Raw genomic sequence first — 23,153 nt, 5'->3', positions numbered from 1 at the left:
CACTGGGGCATTAGTGGCAGCCCGTGACTTAGCACAAGCCCTCTCTTATTTCGCCCCCAGGTCTAGACCCCCCACCCTGCATCCCACTCCCTCTCTGCAATATACTCTGTGCTCACCCTTTGAAAGGGGGGACCTGAGAATGTAACCACTAATTCAAACCAGAAAAACTGAGGATGCAGAACTGAAAAGAGTTTTTCATCGAGCCTGTCTGAAAGACCTCTTCGCTCGTGAGGATTTTGGCTTGGCTACTTGGCTCACTGCTCTCAGAGCCAGAAACCTATTTTCTTCACTCCTGCAAGTAAAAGGAGAGGAAATGTGTATATGTGGTTTTGCAAAGAGCTCTTTTTTGAGCTTAAGAAAAACGGGGGCGGGGTGGGGAGGAGAGGGAACAGACAGCATGGAGGTGAGAAGTGAAGGTTTAAAGCACTGGCTGCTGGGATGTGGTAATACCATCTCTGAATGGATGATACAGTTATCGGTGGGTCAGGTGCTTGCTTCTTGCTGCCCTGTTTTCAAATCCCTGGAAATTAAATAAGTGCTTTTTTTCTTTTCTTTCTTCTTCTTTTTCCTTTTGAGACGGAGTTTCGCTCTTGTCACCCAGGCTGGAGTGCAATGGCCTGATGTCGGCTCACTGCAACCACCACCTCCTGGATTCAAGCGATTCTCCTGCCTCAGCCTCCCAAGTATCTGGGATTACAGGAACCTGCCACCACGCCCCGGCTAATTTTTGTATTTTTAGTAGAAGCGGGGTTTCACCGTATTAGCCAGACTGGTCTTGAACTCCTGAGGGGTTTCAGCATGTTAGCCAGGCTGGTCTCTAACTCCTGAACTCAGGTGATCCACTTGCCTCGGCCTCTCAAAGTGCTGGGATTACAGGCGAGCGCCACCGCGCCTGGCCAAACAAATGTTTTTTATTTGCGACTCCTTCTCCTCGGATGGAAGAGGATGATTTATGGACTAATACAGAGGGGTTCCTTGGTAAGAATGAAAATTAAGCGCGGAACAACTGGTGACTTGTCAACACACCATCAAATGGCCCTTGCAGCCTCACATAAATGCAGACAAGAACAAGGTTGTTACAGGGAGCTGACACACCTGCCTGGGTTTAGTGCCCAGAGTCAGAGACCACTCACGGGTGCGGTGGTTTAGTTTCTCAAATGAGAAGCTATTTTATGAAAAAAGGCAAAAAGCTGCTGTTGTCTAACAAACAGTTAAGTTTGAAAAGACTGGGAAGGTGGAATCCTGTCTATTCAGCTAAAGGGATGAGACGCTACTTGTTTTCCCCAAGAAGTTAACGACCCCAAAGCTGCTAGGTCCCGACCCAAGACCACCACACTGCAGAACATGAAAACCAGAATGCCGTTCGCTGCAGATCTGTAGTTCAAAAAATAATAATAATAAAGCTGCCAGATATGGTAAACTCTGGCCATTCCCCTGGGGTACCCTTCCTAACCGCCCCGGTGGAGCCTAGACAGTGGCCCCTAGCCCAAAGCCTCTCTATCCAGAGCATCACTTTTCTAAGCAGAAAGTTCCTTCTGTGCACTCCACGGGCTTTAAGAGTTGAGGAACGGACTCAGCCCGGAGCCAGTACTAGCAGCGGCCAGGCACACCTTGGGGACTATAGCTGCAGTGTCCTAGCGGGAGGGAACGTCTCCGGGGCGTCTTGGCCCCCCGGACCGGCCGCCCAACCGCAGCCCCCGGGCCCTCAGAGCAGCGCCTAGCCTCTGTGGCAGAAGACGGGGCCGCGCTCGCCCCTGCAGCGCGGAGCTCCGCGCTCACAGCTGGCGCGGGACGCCCCTCCCCTCCGGGTCCCGCACTCACCCACCGCCCTGATGCGGAAGCCGCGCGGCGGCCGCAGGGCCCGGCGCCGCCAGGCATCGCGCAGCACCTGCAGGCAGGCGGGGGGCGCGCGCACCAGCAGCACCCCCCGCCGCAGCCAGCCCTGGAAGGCCAGCCGCGAGGCGGCGCGCGCCAGCCGCGCGTTCCAGAAGCAGCGCGCGTTGGCGCGACGGAAAGCGCGGAACACCGCGCGCCCACCAGGCTCCTCCGCGGCCCCCGCCGCCTTCTGCGCCTCCAGCCGGCACAGCACTAGCGCCAGCGAGCCCGGCGCCAGCTGCACGGGCCGGGACGCCCCTCCCCTCCGGGTCCCGCACTCACCCACCGCCCTGATGCGGAAGCCGCGCGGCGGCCGCAGGGCCCGGCGCCGCCAGGCATCGCGCAGCACCTGCAGGCAGGCGGGGGGCGCGCGCACCAGCAGCACCCCCCGCCGCAGCCAGCCCTGGAAGGCCAGCCGCGAGGCGGCGCGCGCCAGCCGCGCGTTCCAGAAGCAGCGCGCGTTGGCGCGACGGAAAGCGCGGAACACCGCGCGCCCACCAGGCTCCTCCGCGGCCCCCGCCGCCTTCTGCGCCTCCAGCCGGCACAGCACTAGCGCCAGCGAGCCCGGCGCCAGCTGCACGGGCCGGGCCATGCTTTCGCCGGCGGCCGGGAGCCCGCAACGCAGGGCCTCGGCGAGCGCGGCGGCTACGACGCCGCTCGCTCGGCGGGAGGATCGGCCGACTGCGCGCGGGTCCGCGGCGCTGGCTGCCGGGGGAACGGAGCTCCAGGGGGCGGGGCCGACTGCGCCTGGCGGGCCGGGGGTGGGGCGGCCGTGCTTAGGCCGGCGGAGCGCTCTGGAGGAGAATCCAGAGCCCAGCGTTCGGCTTCGTTCTCCACACCCGGGCCCAACTCGGCCCCCTGGCGATGCCCTCGACTTCCAGCCGCCTCGAGGTCCCGAGCTCCCCTTCCCCCAGGGGCGCGCTCTGGGGTTTTTCCAAGTCCTGGGGCTCCTCGCAGCTCCCTGGAGAACCTGACTGCGTCCATCCGCCGTGCGAACTGCAGCGCCAGGAGTCCCCAGGGCGGGGAGACTCGCCTTCGACCTGGCTTTGGGGCCGTTCCAAGTTAGCAACCACGAGGAACAGCCTGAGGGTGTCAGCGGGGGCCTGGGAGGTGTGGGGGTTGAGCAGGAAACCTAGGTTTGAGTCTCAGTTCTGCGCCTAAGCTAGTTGTTTGTTTCTATTTTTGTTTTTTGAGTCGAGGTCTCGCTGTGTTGCCCAGGCTGGAGTGCAGTGGCTATTCACTGAGTTCTGGGCTCAAGCGATCCTCTGATCTCAGCCTCCCGAGTTGGGACTACAGGTGCCCGCCACATCGCCTGGCCTGCTCCCAACCTGTTCATTCAAGTTATTTCCCTTCTCTGGGCCTCAGAAATGTCCCAGCTACTATTTCACAGGATAATAAACTAAGGACCCTTTCATCCATGACTTTCTTTTTTTTTTTTTTTGAGGCGGAGTCTCACTCTGTCGCCCAGGCTGGAGTGCAGTGGCGCGATCTCGGCTCACTGCACGGTCCGCTTACCTGGTTCACGTCATTCTCCTGCCTCAGCCTCCCGAGCAGCTGGGACTACAGGTGCCCGCCACCACGCCCGGCTAATTTTTTGTATTTTTAGTAGAGACGGGGTTTCATGGTGTTAGCCAGGATGGTCTCGATCTCCTGACCTCGTGATCCGCCCGCCTCCGCCTCCCAAAGTTCTGGGATTACAGGCGTGAGCCACGGCGCCCGGCCGGCCTCATCCATGACTTTCTGAAGTTGTAGGATCTGGTCCTACCCCGGGGATATCCCATACTCTTGAGTGCTGAGGAAAGCAGAGTGGAGAGGTGCCACCCTGATTGGTGTGGCGCTGTGGTGATATCGTAGGATTCTGCCCTGGGTTAGATGTGGACATTCTGAAAAGACGGACACCGTCCTGCCCCAGAGGCAAAGGGAGAGCTTGTGATGCGTGGCGGTAGAATGTGACCTGTGCCTCAAAGCAGTGAAGGCCGATTCAGACTGAGGACCCAGACTGAGGCCCAGCGGGAGGGCTCCTTGAGAAAAAAACCCATTTGAAAATACAACATGTTAAAAGAAGAGGAAGGGGCCAGGCGCGGTGGCTCATGCCTGTAATCCCAGCACTTTGGGAGGCCGAGGTGGGCGGATCACGAGGTCAGGAGATCGAGACCGGCCTGACCTACAAGGTAAAACTCCATCTCTACTAAAAATACAAAAATTAGCCGGATGTGGTGGCACGCGCCTGTAATCCCAGCTACTCAGGGAGGCTGAGGCAGAAGAATTGCTTAAACGCGGAGGCGGAGGTTGCAGTGTGCTGAGATGGTGCCACCGCACTCCAGCCTGGGTGACAGAGCAAGACTCCCTCTCGGGAAAAAAAGAAAAAGAAGAAGAAGAGGAAGGGCATTATGCTTGGTACCAGAACACAGTACTGTGAGGGAGCAGAGGTGCTTGGCAAAATCTAGGAGTCATTCCAGACTTCCCACTCCCTCAGCTCATCAGTCCTCAATAAAAACTATAAACATGGAGATAATTTATACCCTGCCCCCAGTAAGCACGCAATAAATGATAGATAATAACAATAGCTAACATTTATTGAACACTATATGCTGGGGCCATTAATTTCAAGACTGTCTTTTTTTTTTTGAGACTGTCACCCATGCTGTGCCACCCATACTGGAGTGCAGTGGCGAGGCTCACTGCAGCCTGGTCCTCCGGGCTCAAGTGTCCTCCCACCTCAGCCTCCGGAGTACCTGGGACCACAGGTGCATGCCACCACACCCAGCTAATATTTGTATTTTTGGTAGAGAGGAGGTTTCACCATGTTGCCCAGGCAGGTCTTGAACTCCTGGGCTCAAGCAATCTGCCCACCTTGGCCTCCTAAAGTGTTGGGATTATAGGCATGAGCCACCATGCCTGCCAACTCTGTGTTTACTATTAATATTATTATCCCTGGTTGTTTTGTTTTGTTTTTACAGATGAGGGACTTGCAGCTAGTTGGATTAAGAAGTGTTTCCCAGTCACACAGGTAGTAAGAAATGTACTCAGACAACTGCCAAGTAAGGCTTCCCTATGACAAATAAGTCTGACTTCACTTTCAATGCAAATAATCACGTGAACCTGAGACTACCATCTCACATCTGAATTCTGATTCTGAGGTGGATGGATGGATACAGCCCATAGGACAAACACAGTGAACTCCTATGCATGTATACTCTCAAGAGGGGTAAAGCTTCTCTTCTTCTGGGTTCTATCGTGGCACTCTCATCTTGCTGGATCAAGGGTGGCCTTCCTGTGTCCCCATACTGGAGAACCATGACTTTGGGCTCAATATCTGTAGCATATAGTACAGCATCTTTCCCATTGTAATAAGGTCGGTGATAATTTCCATTTACTCTCAGCTCAGTTTGTGCCTAGAACTGTACTAAGGAATTTTACATATGTGAACTAATTTTATCCAAAAATTAGTTCTCCAAAAGGGATAATATTATTAAGCCATGACTTCCCCAGGAGAAACGAAAGCTTAGTGAGTTTAGGCAACTTGCCCGTGAAGACAAAACTACTGGAGGGTGAGGAGGTGATCCCAGTGTCTTCTTGCCCACACACCTGATGAGGACAAGGCCATACCCTGACTTACTGGACCGTGGCCTGGTGTCAGAAGTCCTAAGTGTGATTCTTTCTCCTAAGAATTTGAATTGGAAATACACAGAAACAATAAAGCCTTGTTAGCAGGGGCTACAGCCGCAAGGATGCTGCAAGGCAGAATCTAGCTATGAGGTTTCATGGCCTGAAATTATTAGGTAGAACTGTCTTAAGCATTAGAACCTTTTGTTCAGATGTATGAAATTCCTTTTTTTTTTTTTTTTGGTTTTTTTTTGAGACAAAGTCTCACTTTGTCACCTAGGCTGGAGTGCAGTGGCACCACCTCTGCCCACTGTAGCCTCAACCTCCTGGGCTCAAGCAATCCTCCCACCTCAGCCTCCCGAGTAGCTGGGACTACAGGTGCACACTACGACCCCTAGCTAATTTTTTTGCACTTTTTGTAGGATGGGGTTTTGCCATGTTGCCCAGGCTGGTCTCAAACTGCTGAGCTCAAGCAATCTGCCTGCCTCGGCCTCCCAAAGTGCTGGGATTATAGGCATGAGCCACTATGCCCAGCTGAAATTCTCTTATCATTTTACTTAAGCTAGTTCAATTAACAGTCCAATTAACAAAAGAAGAGGAAGATAATTTAAGGAGAAAAATTTTAAACTACAGCCAAATACTTAGCCATTTTTTCCCTAAAGGGTCAGCTACTTCCTGAATATCCCCAAGCTCCTACAAAATGGAGTATGTCTTAAAAGTTAAATGAGAAGCTGTGGGCCTCTGACCTGAATGGTTTTGTGTTCCATGGCATAACTAGAGAAACAGAAAATCTTTTTTTTTTTTTTTTTGAGATGGAGTCTCACTCTGTTGCCCAGACTGGAGTGCAATGGTGCCATCTCGGCTCACTACAACTTCCGCCTCCCAGGTTCAAGTGATTCTCCTGCCTCAGCCTCCCAAGTAGCTGGGATTACAGGCGCCCACCACTATACCCAGCTAATTTTTGTATTTTTAGTAGAGATGGGGTTTCACCATGTTGGTCAGGATAGTCCCGAACTTCCGATCTCAGGTGATTCGCCCGCCTTGGCCTCCAGAAGTGCTGGGATTACAGGCATGAGCCACCACGCCTGGCCAAGAAACAGAAATGCTTAAGGGCTTTCCATCTTTGTGATCTCTGCAGATCAGACAAAGAAGCATTTAAAAAGAATTAGTATCATTCTTCACTTAAAGTGGCACATGAGTAGTCAAGTCACATTGGAACTAAAAAATGTCAAGATGGAATTATTTTTTATCTTATATTTGCAATGGTCTCTGTATGCCTGAGAAATATGGAGTATTCTTTTTTGTTGTTGTTTTTTGAGACAGAGTCTCACTCTGTTGCCCAGGCTGGAGTGTAGTGGCACGATCTTGGCTCACTGCAACCTCCACCTCCCAGGTTTAAGCAATTCTCCTACCTCAGCCTCCAGAGTAGCTGGGATTACAGGAGCCCACCACTGCATCTGGCTAATTTTTGTATTTTTAGTAGAGACTGGGTTTCACCATGTTGCTGAGAGGTGAAGCCGGCTGGGCTTCCAGGTCGGGTGGGCACTTGGAGAACTTTTATGTCTAGCTAAAGGATTGTAAATGCACCAATCAGCACTCTGTGTCTAGCTAAAGGTTTGTAAATGCACCAGTCAGTGCTCTGTGTCTAGCTAATCAAGTGGGGACTTGGAGAACTTTTCTGTCTAGCTAAAGGATTGTAAATGCACCAGTCAGCGCTCTGTGTCTAGCTAAAGGTTTGTAAATGCACCAATCAGCACTCTGTAAAAATGGACCAATCAGCACTCTGTAAAATGGACAATCAGCTCTCTGTAAAATGGACCAATCAGCAGGATGTGGGTGGGGCCAAATAAGGGAATAAACACAGGCTACCCCTGCCAGTAGTGGCAACTGGCTTGGGTCCCCTTCCATGCCGTGGATGCTTTGTTCTTTTGCTCTTTGCAATAAATGTTGCTGCTGCTCACTCTTTGGGTAGGCACTGCCTTTATGAGCTGTAACACTCACTGCGAAGGTCTGCAGCTTCACTCCTGAAGCCAGCGAGACCACAAACCCACCAGAAGGAAGAAACTCTGGACACATCTGAACATCTGAAGGAGCAAATTCCGGACACACCATCTTTAAGAACTTTGGGCCAGGCGTGGTGGCTCATGCCTGTAATCCCAGCACTTTGGGCAGCCGAGGCGGGAGGATCACGAGGTCAATAGATCGAGACCATCCTAGCCAACATGAGGAAACCCCGTCTCTACTAAAAATACAAAAATTAGCTGGGTGTGGTGGCATGCGCTTGTAATCCCAGCTACTCAGGAGGCTGAGGCAGGAGAATCGCTTGAACCCGGGAGGCAGAGGTTGCAGTGAGCCGGAGATTGTGCTGCTGCACGCCAGCCTGACGACAGAGTGAGACTCCGTCTCAAAAAAAAAAAAAAAGAACTTTAACACTCACCGTGAGGGTCCACGGCTTCATTCTTGAAGTCAGCGAGACCAGGAACCCACCGGAAGGAACCAGTTCTGGACACATTGCCCAGGCTGGTCTTGAACTCCTGACCTCAGGTAATCTGCCCGCCTCTGCCTCCAAAAGTGCTGGGATTACATGCATGAGCCACTGCTCCCGGCCAAGGATTCTAAACACTATATAAAATCCAGTGATTCTACTATGTAGTCATTAAAAAGTTTCAGGCCAGGCACTGTGGCTCATGCCTGTAATCCCAGCACTTTGGGAGGCCGAGGCAGACGCATTACCTGAGGCCAGGAGTTCAAGACCAGCCTGGCCAACACGGTGAAACTACATCTCTACTAAAAACACAAAAATTACCCTGGTGTAGTGGCGGGCACCTCTAGTCCAGCTACCCGGGAGCCTGAGGCAGGAGAATCACTTGAACCTGGGAGACAGGTTGCAGTGAGCCAAAATCGTACCACTCTACTCCACCCTGGGCGACAGAGTGAGACTCTGTCTCAAAAAAAAAAAAAAAAGTTTGAAAGCTGGATGCTGTGGTAGTCCCAGCTACTCAGGAGGCTGAGGCGGGAGGATGGCTTGAACCCTGGAGTTCCAAAGTGAAGTGAACTATGATTGCATCTGTGAATAGCCACTGCACTCCAGCCTGGGCAACATGGCAAGACTCCCTCTCAAAAGAAATAAAAGTAAGGCCTGGTGCAGTGGCTCATGCCTATAATCCTAGCGCTTTGGGAGGCTGAGGCAGGAGGAGCATTTGAGGTCAGGAGTTCTTCAAGACCAGCCTGGATAATACAGCAAGACTCCATCTCTATTTATAAAATAAAAAATTTAAGTTCAAATTTTTAAAAAGTTATTTAAAAACATGTATCAGGACATTAAGAGATCAGCTTTGGTCATTTTGAGAATGACTGTCCATGTTGAGTTTGACTGTCCAATTTATTCCCTCCAGAGTAATTTTATAAAAATTTACTTCTCTCCTGTTTCCACATGATCTCTCTTGCCCATCTTGTCAGGCCTGAAATCCCTGCCCAGACAGCTCCAGCCTAGGAAAGGAGATGTCTCCAAAGTCCACTTTTAAGGGTACATATGGCCAGGCGCGGTGGCTTATGCCTGTAATCCCAACACTTTGGGAGGCCGAGGTGGGCTGATCACAAGGTCAGGAGTTCGAGACCAGCCTGGCCAAGATGGTGAAACCCTGTCTCTACTAAAAAATACAAAAATTAGCTGGACGTGGTGGTGGGCACCTATAATCCCAGCTACTCAGGAGGCTGAGGCAGAGAATTGCTTAAACCTGGGAGGCAGAGGTTGCAGTGAGCCAAGATCACGCCACTGCACTTCAGCGGGGGGGCCGGTGAGACTCCGTCTCAAAAAAAAAGGGTACATACATTGCCTCTCCCATTATCACATTATTTGTGAAGATTTATTTAGCTCATCCAATTTGCTATTGACTCCAAAAGTACAGTGGGCTTTCATGGGACAGGACACAGGATCTATAAAGAGTTTTGGGACAATAAGAAAGACATGGAGTCAACTTAAATGACCATGAACAGATTGGATAAAGAAAATGTACATATGCACCATGGAATACTACATAGCCATAAAAAGGAACAAGATCATATCATTTGCAGCAACATGGATGGAGCTGGAGGCCATTATCCTATGCAAACTAACACAGGAACAGAAAACCAAATACTACATGTTCTGACTTATAAGTGGGAGCTAGGCCGGGCATGGTGGGTCACACCTGTAATGCCAGCACTTTGGGAGGCTGAGGCAGGTGGATCACTTGAGGGCAGGAGTTCAAGACCAGCCTGGCCAACATGGTGAAACCCCATATCTACTAAAAACACACACACACACAAATAGCACACTCCTGTAATTTCAGCTACGCAGGAGGCTGAGACAGGAGAACCCCTTGAACCCAGGAGGCGGAGGTTGCAGTGAGCCAAGATTGTGCCACTCACTCCAGCCTGGGTGACAGAGTGAGACTCTGTCTCAAAATAAAAATAAAAATAAAAATAAAATAAAAATGAGTCAGCGCTAAACATTGAGTACACATGGATACAAGGAAAGGAACAACAGACAGAGGCTTACTTTAGGTTGGAGGGCAGGAGGAGTGAGAGGATTGAAAAACTACCCATCAGCTACTATGCTTATTACCTGGGTGATGAGATAATCTGCACACCAAACCCCTGTGACATGCAATTTACCTGTATAACAAACCTGCACATGTACCCTTGAACCTAATATAAAAGGTTTGTTTTGTTTTGTTTTGTTTAAAAAAAAAAAAAAAAAAAAAGAGCAAGGCCGGGTGCGGTGGCTCATACCTGTAATCCCAACACTAAGAGGGTAAGGCAGTGATTGCTTGATCCCGGGAGTTCAAGACCAGCCTGGCCAACATGGCAAAATCCCATCTCTACTGAAAATACAAAAATTAGCCAAGCATGGTGGGACACACGCCTGTAGTCCCAACTACTCTGGAGGCTGAGGTGGGAGAAACCTGAGCCCAGGAGGTCGAGGCTATAGTGAGCTGAGATTGCACCACTGCACTCCAGACTAGGTGAAGGGAGTGAAACCCTGTCTCAAAAACAAAAAACAAAACAAAGAGCCGGGCATGGTGGCTTACGCCTGTAATCCCGACACTTTGGGGGGCCTACGTGGGTGGATCACAAGGTCAAGAGTTCGAGACCAGCCTGGCCAACATGGTGAAACCCCATCTCTACTAAAAATACAAAAAATTAGGTATGGTGTTGCGCACCTGTAGTCCCAGCTACTTGGGAGGCTGAGGCAGGAGAATTGCTTGGCCCCAGGAGGCAGAGGTTGCCGTGAGCAGAGATTGCACCATTCATTGCACTCCAGCCTGGGTGACAGAGCAAGACTCTGTCTCAAAAAAAAAAAAAAAAAAAAAGAAGGGTTTTCCGCTTCAGAACCATTGAAGGTCTGGGTACAGTGGTTCATGCCTATAATCCCAGCACTTTGGGAGGCCCAGGCAAGAAGATTGCTTGAGCTCAGGAGTTCAAGACCAGGCTGGGCAACATAGCAAAACCCCATATCTACAAAAAATTAGCTGGGCGTAGTGGCTCACACCTGTAGTCTCAGCTACTTGGGAGGCTGAGGTGGGAAAATTGCTTGAGCCCGGGAGGTTGAGGCTGCAGTGAGCCAAGATCACGCCACTGCACTCCAGCCTGGGCGGCAGAGTGAGACCCTGTCTAAAAAAAGAACCGTTGGGCCTGGAGCAGTGGCTCACAACTGTAATCCCAACACTTTGGGAGGCTGAGGTGGGCATATCACCTGAGGTCGGGAGTTTGAGACCAGCCTGACCAACATGTAGAAATCCTGTCTCTACTAAAAACACAAAATTAGCCAGGCATGGTGGCTCGTGCCTGTAATCCCAGCTACTTGAGAGGCTGAGGCAGCAGAATCACTTGAACCTGGGAGGTGGAGGTTGCAGTGAGCCGAGATTGCACTATTGCACTCCAGCCTGGGCAACAAGAGCAAAACTCCATCTCAAAAAAAAAAAAAAAAAAAAAAAAGAATCATTGAGGAAGATTAAGATGGCTTATCCTAGAGAGGAGGGAATGAGAGGTGGCCAGTGCCTTACAATGAACTGAGAGAGTGACCCCAGGAGTATGCCATATGGAGGGAAACTTGCCTGTGCTTATGGAGACTAGACTCCAAGATGTCTCTGAGGCAATGCAGTAAGGACCATTGTAGGGCCTTTTTGAGCCAACATAGAGCTTTGGAGCTTGGTGGTTGGTGGAGGTGGAGGAGTAGCCCTCCACATCCGTACCCCATGGCCGCAGGTACTAAGGTAACCATCATAAGCATCAGGGTGCCTTTCCCCATTTTCTGGGGCTGGGAGTCAGATTTTATTTGGTTTAGAAAACTCAACTTGAGGGCCAGGCACGGTGGCTCATGCCTGTAATCCCAGCACTTTGGGAGGCCGAGGTGGGTGGATCACGAGGTCAGGAGATCGAGACCATCCTGGCTAACATGGTGAAACTCCATCTCTACTAAAATATGTAAAAAATTAGCTGGGCATGGTGGCAGGAGCCTGTAGTCCCAGTTACTTGGGAGGCTGAGGCAGGAGAATGGCGTGAACCCAGGAGGCAGAGCTTGCAGTTAGCCAAGATTACGCCACTGCACTCCAGCCTGGGCGACAGAGCAAGACTCTGTCTCAAAAAAAAAAAAAAAAAAGAAAACTCAACTTGAGGCCAGGTGCAGTGACTCATGCCTGTAATCCCAACACTTTGAGAAGCTGAGGCAGGAGGATCACTTGAGCCCAGAAGTTCAAGACCAGCCTAGACAACATAGTAGACCCCCATCTCTACAAAACTATTTTTAAAAATTAGCCAGGCATGCTGGTGTGTGTCTGTAGTCCCAGCTACTCGGAGGCTGAGGTGGGAGGATCTCTTGAACCTGGGAGGTCGAGGCAGCAGTGAACTGTGATCTCACCACTGCACTCCAGCCTGGGCCACACAGTGAGACCCTGTCTCAAAAAAAAAAAGAAAGTAAAGAAAAAGAAAACTCAACCTGAAGGGAAACAAATTCATACCTGCTTTATTATAACCTCTACAGAAGATAAGTTTGACCTGTTGATATTCATGTATGCCTTATACCTCTCCTAAGTAAGGCAATCAGTGTTTTTCACACTCTGGACCCTAGCCTGCCCTTTTAGCTTCATTTCCACTTCCATCAGTGCTCTCCTAGTCCACACCGAGGACCTCATGCTCCCGCCACACAGTACAAACCTTCCAAGAGCACATGCTCCCACCATCTTTGCTCACATTATTTCTTCTGCCTAGAAGGCCTTTGCCCCTTTCCACCAGGTATTATCCTACAAAACCCAGCTCATAAAATCTGTGACACATACAGAAAAATTTCATCTGCTCTCCAAGATGTTGTTAACCCTTTTAACTTTTAGCCCTGTTAGATTGTCTGATAAGAGCTATAATATGTAGTTACCTGTCTCATCAGGCAACCTGAGATTCCTTGAGGGCCCTGGCACCGAGCCTAGTGTCAGGCACAAGGATTTCTTCAACCTGAATCAAATCAAATTTAATTAGTACTTGTTACAAAATAATACTGTTTTTGCTGCTTTCTCACTAGCCTGGTTTACCATACACAGGAGCATTTCTGGTTTAGAGGGTGAATCACTCGGTTATCCAATAGTCAATGTCCAGGATAGAGCCTCAAGGAACAGGTCTCCTCACATACCCAGACATTTGGATGTCCGTAGTTTCTCTGGAGTCTGTTTATAGCACATATGTACTCAGGATGATGTTTGGATTCACAACCTCAGATTTTTTTCATACCAAAATTCATAAGCTGAAGTTCCCTTCCCTTAACTCCGACAAGCCTTGACACTTAAGGCTGATTTAGAAAGCATTTCCTATCTGGATTATCTTTATTAGAACCATTTCCTCTTCTACAGCACCTTTCTTCCCCTTGCCCAGGAAGCAAACAAACAAACAAACCTGGAGACGCTTCTTTCTAGTTCTCAGAAGGAAATGTGAGGCTTTGCTAAACAACTGTGTTGACTCAAAGGAGTTGAAGGGCAGGGGATGTTAAAGAAAAAGAGAAAAGGCTGGGCAGGGTGGCTCACGCCTGTAATCCCAGCACTTTGGGAGGCCAAGGTGGGCAGATCACGAGGTCAAGAGATCGAGACCATCCTGGCCAACACGGTGAAACCCTGTCTCTACTAAAAAATATAAAAATTAGCCGGGCTTGGTGCCATGTGCCTGTAGTCCCAGCTACTCGGGAGGCTGAGGCAGGAGAATCGCTTGAACCTGGGAGGCGGAGCTGGCAGTGAGCCGAGATGGCACTACTGCACTCCAGCCTGGCGACAGAGCAAGACTCCATTTCAAAAAAAAAAAAAAGAGAGAGAAAAGGAGATGAGGGGCAGGGGATGTTAAAGAAAAAGACATTTGTGACCCTTGCTAAAGATAGTAACAGGAAGGCTTTATTTAGGGAGACCATGGCGATAGGTATAGGAACTACTGCAATGGGGTCTTGCAGTGGGGGAGGGAGGGGACTCGACTCCCCTCTTGTCCAACAAGGAAAGTTACTAAGAGGAAACATCAAGGGTAAGTAGGATTCTTTTTCCTTTCTTTCTTTTTGAGAGGGGGTCTCACTCTCACCCAGGCTGGAGTGCGGTGGGGCTATCTCGGCTCACAGCAACCTCCGCCTCATGGGTTCAAGTGATTCTCCTACCTCAGCCTCCCGAGTAGTTGGGATTACAGGCGGACACCATCACGCTTGGCTAATTTTTGTGTTTTTTGATAGAGAAGGTATTTCTCCATGTTGGCCAGGCTGGTCTCGAACTCATCACCTCAAGTAATCTGCCTGCCTTGCCCTCCCAAAGTGCTGGGATTACAGGTGTAAGCCACCCCGCCCAGCCTCTAAGTGGGATCCTTGTTAAAACAACTCAACAAAATTCTTGCTGAAAGCAGGACAGGGTAATAAGATAGTGAGGGTGGTCAGGTATCGAGGGTAGGCGATTTTCACTAAATTGACGATTCTCGCTCAAACTGGATTCCACAAGGACAGAGAGGGAAGTCCAGTGTGAGGCCTAGTCAGAAGGGACTCAGAAGAGTTCAACTAAAGTTTTGATCAAAGGAGACTTTGTTAGGGAAGGACATTTAATACCTTTTTAAAACATTTATTCCATTTGGCCCGGCGCAGTGGCTCACAACTGTAATCCCAGCACTTTGGGAGGCCTAGGTGGGTGGATCACCTGAAGTCAGGAGTTTGAGACCAGCCTGGCCAACATAGAGAAACCTCTTCTCTACTAAAAATACAAAAAAATTAGATGGGCATGGTGGTAGGCACCTGTAATCCCAGCTACTCAGGAGGCTGAGGCAGGAGAATCACTTGAACCCAGGAAGTGGAGGATGTAGTGAGCTGAGGTCATGCCACTACACTCCAGCCTGGGTGACAGAGCAAGACTCTGTCTCAAAAAAAAAAAAAAAAAGAAAAGAAAAGAAAAAAATAATTCATTTGCTTTGTCTTTGCAATGGTCAGTGGCAAGAGGCCAAAAATATATATATATATTTATTGGAGAAAAAAAGATTCTTAGTTGGAACAGTGAAAAGTTGACTACTAGAAATCCTTTTTTGGGGTGAGCAGGGGTAAGGTCTAGTTCTGTCACCCAGGCTGGAGTGCAGTGGTGCAATCTTGGCTCACTACAGTCTCGACCTCCCAGGCTAAAGCGATCCTCCCACCTCAGCCTCCCAAGTAGCTGGGACTACAGGAATGCCACCAGCATGACCAGCTAATTTTTGTTTTTGGGTTTTTTGTTGTTGTTTTTTTTTTTTTTTTTTTTTTGTAGAAGCAGGGTCTGTAGAAATCTTTTTTTTCTTTCTTTTCTTTCTTTTTTGGAGACAGGGTCTCACTCTGTTGCCCAGGCTAGAGTACAGTGGTATAATCTCAGCTCACTGCAACCTCTGCCTCCCAGGCTCAAGCCATCCTCCCATTGCAGCCTTCCTAGTAGCTGGGACCACAGGCATGCGCCACCATGCCCGGCTAATTTTTGTATTTTTTGTAGAGACAGGGGGAGTCTCACTTTGTTTCCCAGGCTGGTCACGAACTCCTGAGCTCAAGTCATCTGCCCGCCTCAGCCTCACAAAGTGCTGGGATTACAGGAAAATCCTTTGATTCTGAGGTGAGGAGCCAGTTCACACTTCCCAGTACTCTGCCTTTCCCCACTTTCTTAAAAGAACAAACACCCACGAAGCATTGAAAACATCCCATAATGTTTGAGGAGGATTGATTGAGGATTGGAATAATGATCATTATGTTAACAGAAATTATTCTGGGTGGTGAGATTACAGCAATTTTCTTTCTTTCTTTCTTTCTTTGAGCTTTTCTATACTTTCCAAAAATTCTACAACAAAGAAAGGCCTCAATAATTTTTGGTTTGAAGGAAGTTAAGGCAGCTGGCTCTCCTGCACTTGGGGCCATCAAAGCCAATAAGCTTTCTAACCAAAATGAGGAGACCCCACCATTCTATCACCCCATTAGACTTGGGGTCAAATGGCAGGTCTCAAAGCCTAAAAATGTTACTTCCTTGAAAGAATGCTAGAGCCCCAGTCTGTCAAGAAAGCTTGCAACCAAGCCCCCTGGCACAGGAGCAAGTTAGCAAAATTCTTATAATTTGAAACATGGAAAATCAGACTAACCCTTCCGGCTACCAAAAAAAAAAAAAGAAGAAAGTATGAAAGCCTAAGGCAAGATGCCAAACCTAGTTTCAGGATTATAAAGGAGAAACCACTTCTCTTTGGTTTTATTATAACAGAGGGTGTAAAGCTGGGCCTCATATCCCACTATTTACATGCAAATCCCATCAAAAATGAGCTGGCTGCACTCCAGGTGCCCAGATCTCAAAGGAACTCTGTTTCCAGTGAAGACCCTGCCCTCTAGCCCCAACTTTCTCTTTTTTCTGCTTTCTTATGGGAGGGGAGAAAGCATGCCTTGGCTCTCTTTCCTCTCACCCTGAAATTAATTGAAAAACAAACTGTTGCTTTCTCCCTTCTCACATTCCACCTATTACTTTTTTTTTTTTTTTTTTGAGACTGAGTTTCCCTCTTGTTGCCCAGGCTGGAGTGCAATGGCACAATCTTGGCTCACTGCAACCTCTGCCTCCTGGGTTCAAGGGATTCTCCTGCCTCAACCTCCCTATTAGCTGGGAATACAGGTGCCTGCAACCACACCCGGCTAATTTTTTGTATTTTTAGTAGAGATGGGGTTTCACCATGTTGACCAGGCTGGTCTTGAACTCCTGACCTCAGGTGATCCACCTGCCTTGGCCTCCCAAAGTACTGGGATTACAGGTGTGAGCCACTGCACCCAGGCCTATTACCACTTTTTTTTTTTTTTTTTTTTTTTGAGACGGAGTCTCACTCTTTTGCCCAGGCTGGAGTGCAGTGGCACGATCTCAGCTCACTCCAATCTCCACCTCCTGGGTTCAAGCGATTCTCCTGCTTCAGCCTCCCGAGTAGCTGGGACTACAGGTGCCCACCACTACGCCCAGCTAATTTTTTGTATTTTTAGTAGAGACAGGGTTTCACCGTGTTAGCCAGGATGTTCTCGATCTCCTGACCTCAAGATCCACCCACCTCGGCCTCCCAAAGTGCTAGGATTACAGGCGTGAGCCACAGCACCTGGCCTCAAGACTGAAAACTTATACATGATACCCACTCTACTCTAGCTAAACCTCATAGAAAAAAACTGGCTCCACCCACATCTCACAAGTAAAGGCCAGTTGGAGAGCCTAGACTGCCACCCTTGCCAGGTTGTAAAGATGTATCCCCAGTTGTCCTCATGCCCCACCCAACTTGTGCAGTGGTGATGGAGAAGGCACAGTGGGGAGCACCCCATCCCAGACAGTGTCAGAGGAGACCACATGGGGAGCTCGGACTTCTACTGGTACCAGCTAGGGATAGAAATTCAAGCTCCGCATGGGGAGAACCCCTTCCCGTCCCCACTGAGGTAGTGTCAGAGGCAGCCTAGTGGAGTGAGGACTTTGACCACAGCTCTGCAATAACAAGGCCACCCTCTGCAGTGTCAGTGGAGGCCACGTGGAAAGCAGTAACAAGGAGCCCTTCTACTTCCTAGCCAAGGTGGTACCAGCAGAGGCCTAGTGGACAGCCTGAACTTCTCTCCCCACCCAGAGGCACCAACAACCTCCCACTTGTCTCTCCTTTCACTGTCAAGGGTGCCTGAGTGGAAAACCTGGACTTCCACCCTGATCTGGCAGTAAAAAGGTGGCAACCGTTTTCTCCCACTAGAGTGGTGTCAGAGGTTTGAGTGGTATTGGCTAAAATACCAGATTTAAATAAAACCCAGAGTTTTACAATATCAAAATGTCCAGGTTTCAATTACAGACCACTTGTCATACCAAAAACCAGGAAGATCTCGAAGTGAACAAGAACAGACTCTGGCTGTGCGAAGTGGCCCATGCCTATAATCCCAGCACTTTGGGAGGCCGAGGCGAGTGGATCACTTGAGGCCAGGAATTCAAGACCAGCCTGGCCAACATGACGAATCCCCGTCACTACCAAAAAATGGAAAAATTAGCATGGTAGCATGTGCCTATAATCCCAGGTACTTGGGAGGCTGAGGCATGAGAAGCACTTGAACCCAGGAGGTAGAGATGGCAGTGAGCTGAGGTCATGCCACTGCCTCCAGCCTGGGCAATAGAACAAGACTCTGTCTTGAAAAAAAAAAGAAAAGAAAGAAAGAAAAAAGGACAGATACAAACGCAGGCATGACACAGATGTTAGAATGATCTGACAAGGACTTATGTGAGAGGCGTCTGAACCAGAGGAACTCTATCTTGAATAGGGGCTGAGTAAAATAAGACTGAGATCTTCTGGGCAGCATTCCCAGGAGGCTGGGCATTCTAAGTCACAGGATGAGATAGGAGATCAGCGCAAGATACAGGTCACGAAGACCTTGCTGATAAAACAGGTTGGGGTAAAGAAGCTGGCCAAAACCTACCAAAACCAAGATGGCCATGAGAGTGACCTCTGGTCATCCTCACTCCTCATTATATGCTAATTATAATGCATTAGCATGCTGAAAGACACTCCCACCAGCACCATGACAGTTTACAGATGCCATGGCAACGTCAGGAAGTTACCCTATATGGTCTGAAAGGTGGAGGAAAAAAATTTTTTTAATTAAATAAATAAATAAAAGAGGGAGGAGCCCTCAGTTCTGGGAATTGCCACCTCTTTCCCAGAAAATTCATGAATAACCCACCCCTTGTTTAGCACATAATTGAGAAATAACTGTAAGTATCCTTAGTCCAGCAGCCGTGTTACTGCTCCGCCTGTAGAGTAGCCATTGCTTTTCCCTTTACTTTCCTAATAAATTTGCTTTCACTGCACTCTATGGGTTGGCCTCGAATTATTTCCTCTCTTGGGGTCTGGATCAGGACCCCATTCCAGTAACACTTATAGCAGCCATCGTAAAAATACTTCAGTGAGCAATTAAGAACATGATTGTGCCAGGCAAGTTGCCTATAGTCCCAGCTACTGGGAAGGCTGAGGCAGTGAGATCACTTGAATCCTGGAGTTCAAGACCAGCCTGGGCAACACAGAGAGACCCCGTCTCTAAACTACAACAACGAAAACACACTTGAGGCCGGGCGTGGTGGCTCACGCCTGTAATCCCAGCAGTTTGGGAGGCTGAGGTGGGCGAATCATGAGGTCAGGAGATCGAGACCAGCCTGGCCAACATGATGAAACCCCATCTCCACTAAAAATACCAAAAATTAGCTGGGTGTGGCAACAGGCACCTGTAATCCCAGCTACTCGGGAGGCTGAGGCATGAGAATCGCACCACTGCACTCCAGCCTGGGTGACAGAGTGGCACTCAATCCCAGGGAACAAAAAAAATCCAAGATGACAAAGAAAGCAACTTCTGATTGTCCTCGTGCTCATTATACGCTAATTATAATATATTAGCATGCTAAAAGACACTCCCACTAGCACCATGACAGCTTACAAATGACATGGCAATGTACCTATGTGGTCTAAAAGGGGGAGGAAACCTCAGTTCCTGGAAATTCTTGCCCCTTTCCTGGAAAACTCGTGAATAATTCACCCCTTGTTTAGTATATGATAGAGAAATAACCATAAAAATAGCCGGGCCAGGCGCGGTGGCTCACAGCTGTAACCCCAGCACTTTGGGAGGCCAAGACGGGCGGATCATGAGGTCAGGAGATCGAGACCATCCTGGCTAACATGGTGAAACCCCATCTCTACTAAAAATACAAAAAAATTAGCCGGGCGCGGTGGCGGGCGCCTGTAGTCCCAGCTACTCGGGAGGCTGAGGCAGGAGAATGGCGTGAACCCGGGAGGCGGAACTTGCAGTGAGCCGAGATCACGCCACTGCACTCCAGCCTGGGCGACAGAGCGAGACTCCATCTCAAAAAAAAAAAAAAAAATAGCCAACCAGCAGCCCTTGGGGCTTCTCTATCTGTGGAGTAGCCATTCTTTTATTTCTTTGCTTCTCTAACAAACTTGCTTTCACTTAAAAAAAGTCTCAGCAAAGAAATAAAAAACCTTGGTCGGGCATGGTGGCTGGCGCCTGTTAATCCCAGCACTTTGGGAGGCCGAAATGGGTGGATCACTTGAGGCCAGGAGTTCGAGACTAGCCTGGCCAACTTGGTGAAACCCCTCTCTCTACCAAAAATGAAAAAAAAAACTAGCTAGGTGTGGTGGCATGCACCTGTAGTCCCAGCTACTTGGAAGGCTGAGGCAGGTGAATTACTTGAACCTGGGAGGTGAAGGTTGAGCGGAGATCGCCCCACTGCACTCCAGCCTGGGCAATAGAATGAAACTCTGTCTAAACAAAAACAAAAACAAACAAACAAAAAACCCTGAGCAATGGAAGATACAAAAAAGAACCAAATTAAAATATTTGAATTAAAAAAAAGAAGACATTAAAAAACTCAATGGATGACCCAGCAATTCCATTCCTAGCTATATATCCAAGAGAAATGAAAACATATGTCCACACAAAAATGTGTGCATGAATCCTCATAGCAGCATTATTCATAATAGTCCACAAGTGGAAACAGTGCAAATGTCCCTCAATTGAAGAATGGATAAATGAGGTTTGTCCACACAATTACTCATCCATAAAAAATAAATAAAGAGCCGGGCGCGGTGGCTCATGCCTGTAATCCCAGCACTTTGGGAGGCCGAGGCGGGCAGGTCACCTGAGGTCGGGAGTTTGAGACCAGCCTGATCAACATGGAGAAACCCCGTCTCTACTAAAAATACAAAATTAGCCGGGCATGGTGGCGCATGCCTATAATCATAGCCAGCTACTTGGGAGGCTGAGGCAGGAGAATCGCTTGTACCCGGGAGGTGGAGGTTGCAGTGAGCTGAGATCATGCCATTGCCCTCGAGCCTGGGCGACAAGAGCTAAATTCCATCTCAAATAAAATAAAATAAAACAAATGAAGAGCCGGGCGCAGTGGCTCACGCCTGTAATCCCAGCACTTTGGGAGGCCGAGGCAGGCGGATCACCTGAGGTCAGGGGTTAGAGACCAGCCTCAACATGGAGAAATCCCGTCTCTACTAAAAATACAAAATTAGCCAGGCGTCGTTGTGCATGCCTATAATCCCAGCTACTCGGGAGGCTAAGGCAGGAGAATTGCTTGAACCTGGGAGGCGGAGGTTGTGGTGAGCCGAGATTGTGCCGTTGCACTCCAGCCTGGGCAACAAGAGCGAGACTCAGTCTTAAATAAATAAATAAATAAATAAATAAATAAATGCAGTACATGCTATAATATGGATGAATCTCAAAAACATCCTACTTTCTTTTGACCCATTGTTTTATGAAAAAAGAGAGAGAAAACCTCACACTAAGTGAAAGCAGCCAGATGGAAAAGGTCACACATTGCATGATTCTAGTTATTTATTTATTTAGAGACAGGGTCTTGCTCTGTTACCCAGGCTTGAGTCTAGTGGCAAGATCTCAGCTCACTGCAACCTCTGCCTCCCTGGTTCAAGTGATTCTCCCACCTCAGCCTACCGAGTACCTGGGATTACAGGCGCATGCCACCCCGCCTGGTTCGTTTTTTTGTATTTTTCTTAGAGACAGGGTTTCACCGTGTTGGCCAGGCTGGTCTCAAACTCCTGGGCTCGGGCAGTCTACCCACCTTGGCCTCCCAAAGTGCTGGGATTACAGGCATAAGACACCACGTCCAGCCAACAATAGTGACTTTAATGCTATTTGAATTTTATTTCAATTTTAAAAATTGCAAGCAAATGACAACAAAACTGTCCTCACATTGCTGAGCACCAAGCGCTTAGGAAGCGCTGAGGAGCTGAGGAGCTGGCCTGAGAGGACTTACTGAGGTGCCTGGGCTTCTAGGTGGGCAGAGATTGGCTATTCTTGGGGACTGACTGGCAACCTCACCCTGTCACAGAAATGTCCATAGCTATAGCCAGGTGTGGTGTGTCATGTCTGTAGTCCCAACTACTCTGGAGGCTGAGGTGGGAGGATGCCCTGTACCCAGGAGTCTGAGATCAGTCTTGGTAACATAGCGAGACCCCTGTCTCATAAATAATTTTAAAAAAAGGAACTCTCTATCCTCAACTAATTCCTCCTCAAAGGAACAAAAAACAAAAAAAAAAACAACTACCTAGACTGAGTCAAAGGATTACAAAAAACCTAGAGGGAAGTACATTTCATCTTTAGAATTTATCTAGTGTGCTCTTATTTTTTTTTCCTCAGACAGAGTCTTGCTCTGTCACCCAGGCTGGAGCACAGTGGCATGATCTTGGCATCACTGCAACCTCCATCTCCTGGGTTCATCTCCTGCCTCAGCCTCCCGAGTAGCTGGGATTACAGGCACACGCCACCATGCCTGGCTAATTTTTGTGTTTTTACTAGAAACGGGGTTTCACTATCTTGGCCAGGCTGGTCTTGAACTCCTGACCTCGTGATCCACCTGCCTTGGTCTCCCAAAGTGCTGGGATTACAGGCATGAGCCACTGCGCCTGGCCAAAATCTATTATTTCTTTTGCTCTATGGATACATCTCTCTTCACCTCTCAGGATTCAAGAAAATTGAGACAAAGCCCTTTAGGTCACAGGGTTTCTATCTATTGCTATAATACTATCTCCTTCACCCCATTCCACCTCTAAAGCTCCACCTTAACTAAGAAGCTAGGTCAGAGATCATACAAATAGTGGGGATGGTTTGGTTTATCCCCAGCTCCACCTCTCGGACAGAAACTGAGTCTCTGTAAGAATATTATTTGCTTCTCCTGTGGCCTGACCTTGCTGTTTTATCAGACTGCTCTAATCAAGAATCCAAGAATATTCGTTTTAAGACTCTGGCATGCCAGGCGCGGTGGCTTACGCCTGTAATCCCAGCACTTTGGGAGGCTGAGGCGGGCGGATCACGAGGTCAGGAGATCGAGACCATCCTGGCTAACACAGTGAAACCCCGTCTCTACTAAAAATACAAAAAATTACCCGGGCCTGGTGGCGGGCGCCTGTAGTCCCAGCTACTCGGGAGGCTGAGGCAGGAGAATGGCGTGAACCCGGGAGACAGAGCTTGCAGTAAGCCGAGATTGTGCCACTGCACTACAGTTTGGGCAACAGAGAGAGACTCTGTCTCAAAAAAAAAAAAAAGACTCTGGCACTTGTGGAAAAGATGCATATTGTTTCAAGGTATGAGAAGCGAGGTGTCAACTCAG

General features: G+C 49.0%; 1 protein-coding gene across 5 annotated transcripts in view, besides 6 other annotated features; it reads right to left on the bottom strand.

The window, feature by feature from the left end:
- The window catches only part of STOX1 (storkhead box 1), a 67,902-nt gene extending 65,342 nt beyond the window's left edge, over positions 1-2,560 (bottom strand). For 4 of the 5 annotated variants that reach the window (NM_001130161.4, NM_152709.5, NM_001130159.3 and 1 more), the window contains exon 1: positions 2,158-2,560. In NM_001130161.4, the coding sequence (NP_001123633.1) occupies positions 2,158-2,467 (310 nt within the window). In that variant the 5' untranslated portion in view covers positions 2,468-2,560. Of the gene's footprint in view, positions 1-1,821; positions 2,115-2,157 lie in introns of those variants that run through there. The other variant, XM_011539454.3, reaches the window with a different exon arrangement.
- Positions 1,538-1,587: a silencer, noted in NCBI's record as "silent region_2424". NCBI's record gives its function as "represses an Ori minimal core promoter by ATAC-STARR-seq in GM12878 lymphoblastoid cells {active_cell/tissue: GM12878}" and the evidence as "EXISTENCE:reporter gene assay evidence [ECO:0000049][PMID:35858748]".
- Positions 1,788-1,867: a silencer, noted in NCBI's record as "silent region_2423". NCBI's record gives its function as "represses an Ori minimal core promoter by ATAC-STARR-seq in GM12878 lymphoblastoid cells {active_cell/tissue: GM12878}" and the evidence as "EXISTENCE:reporter gene assay evidence [ECO:0000049][PMID:35858748]".
- Positions 2,359-2,738: a silencer, noted in NCBI's record as "silent region_2422". NCBI's record gives its function as "represses an Ori minimal core promoter by ATAC-STARR-seq in GM12878 lymphoblastoid cells {active_cell/tissue: GM12878}" and the evidence as "EXISTENCE:reporter gene assay evidence [ECO:0000049][PMID:35858748]".
- Positions 3,305-3,474: an enhancer, noted in NCBI's record as "experimental_16918 CRE fragment used in MPRA reporter constructs". NCBI's record gives its function as "activates a minimal promoter by MPRAs in K562 erythroleukemia cells, with activity observed for both the introgressed and non-introgressed 10:70586459 variant alleles {active_cell/tissue: K562}" and the evidence as "EXISTENCE:reporter gene assay evidence [ECO:0000049][PMID:34662402]".
- Positions 12,089-12,258: an enhancer, noted in NCBI's record as "experimental_16907 CRE fragment used in MPRA reporter constructs". NCBI's record gives its function as "activates a minimal promoter by MPRAs in K562 erythroleukemia cells, with activity observed for both the introgressed and non-introgressed 10:70577675 variant alleles {active_cell/tissue: K562}" and the evidence as "EXISTENCE:reporter gene assay evidence [ECO:0000049][PMID:34662402]".
- Positions 15,930-16,099: an enhancer, noted in NCBI's record as "experimental_16901 CRE fragment used in MPRA reporter constructs". NCBI's record gives its function as "activates a minimal promoter by MPRAs in K562 erythroleukemia cells, with activity observed for both the introgressed and non-introgressed 10:70573834 variant alleles {active_cell/tissue: K562}" and the evidence as "EXISTENCE:reporter gene assay evidence [ECO:0000049][PMID:34662402]".

The sequence above is a fragment of the Homo sapiens genome, chromosome 10, assembly GCF_000001405.40.
Source record: "Homo sapiens chromosome 10, GRCh38.p14 Primary Assembly".
Lineage (NCBI taxonomy): Eukaryota > Metazoa > Chordata > Mammalia > Primates > Hominidae > Homo > Homo sapiens.
Note: the sequence above shows the minus strand (reverse complement) of the source record. Positions and strands in the feature narration are given on the sequence as shown.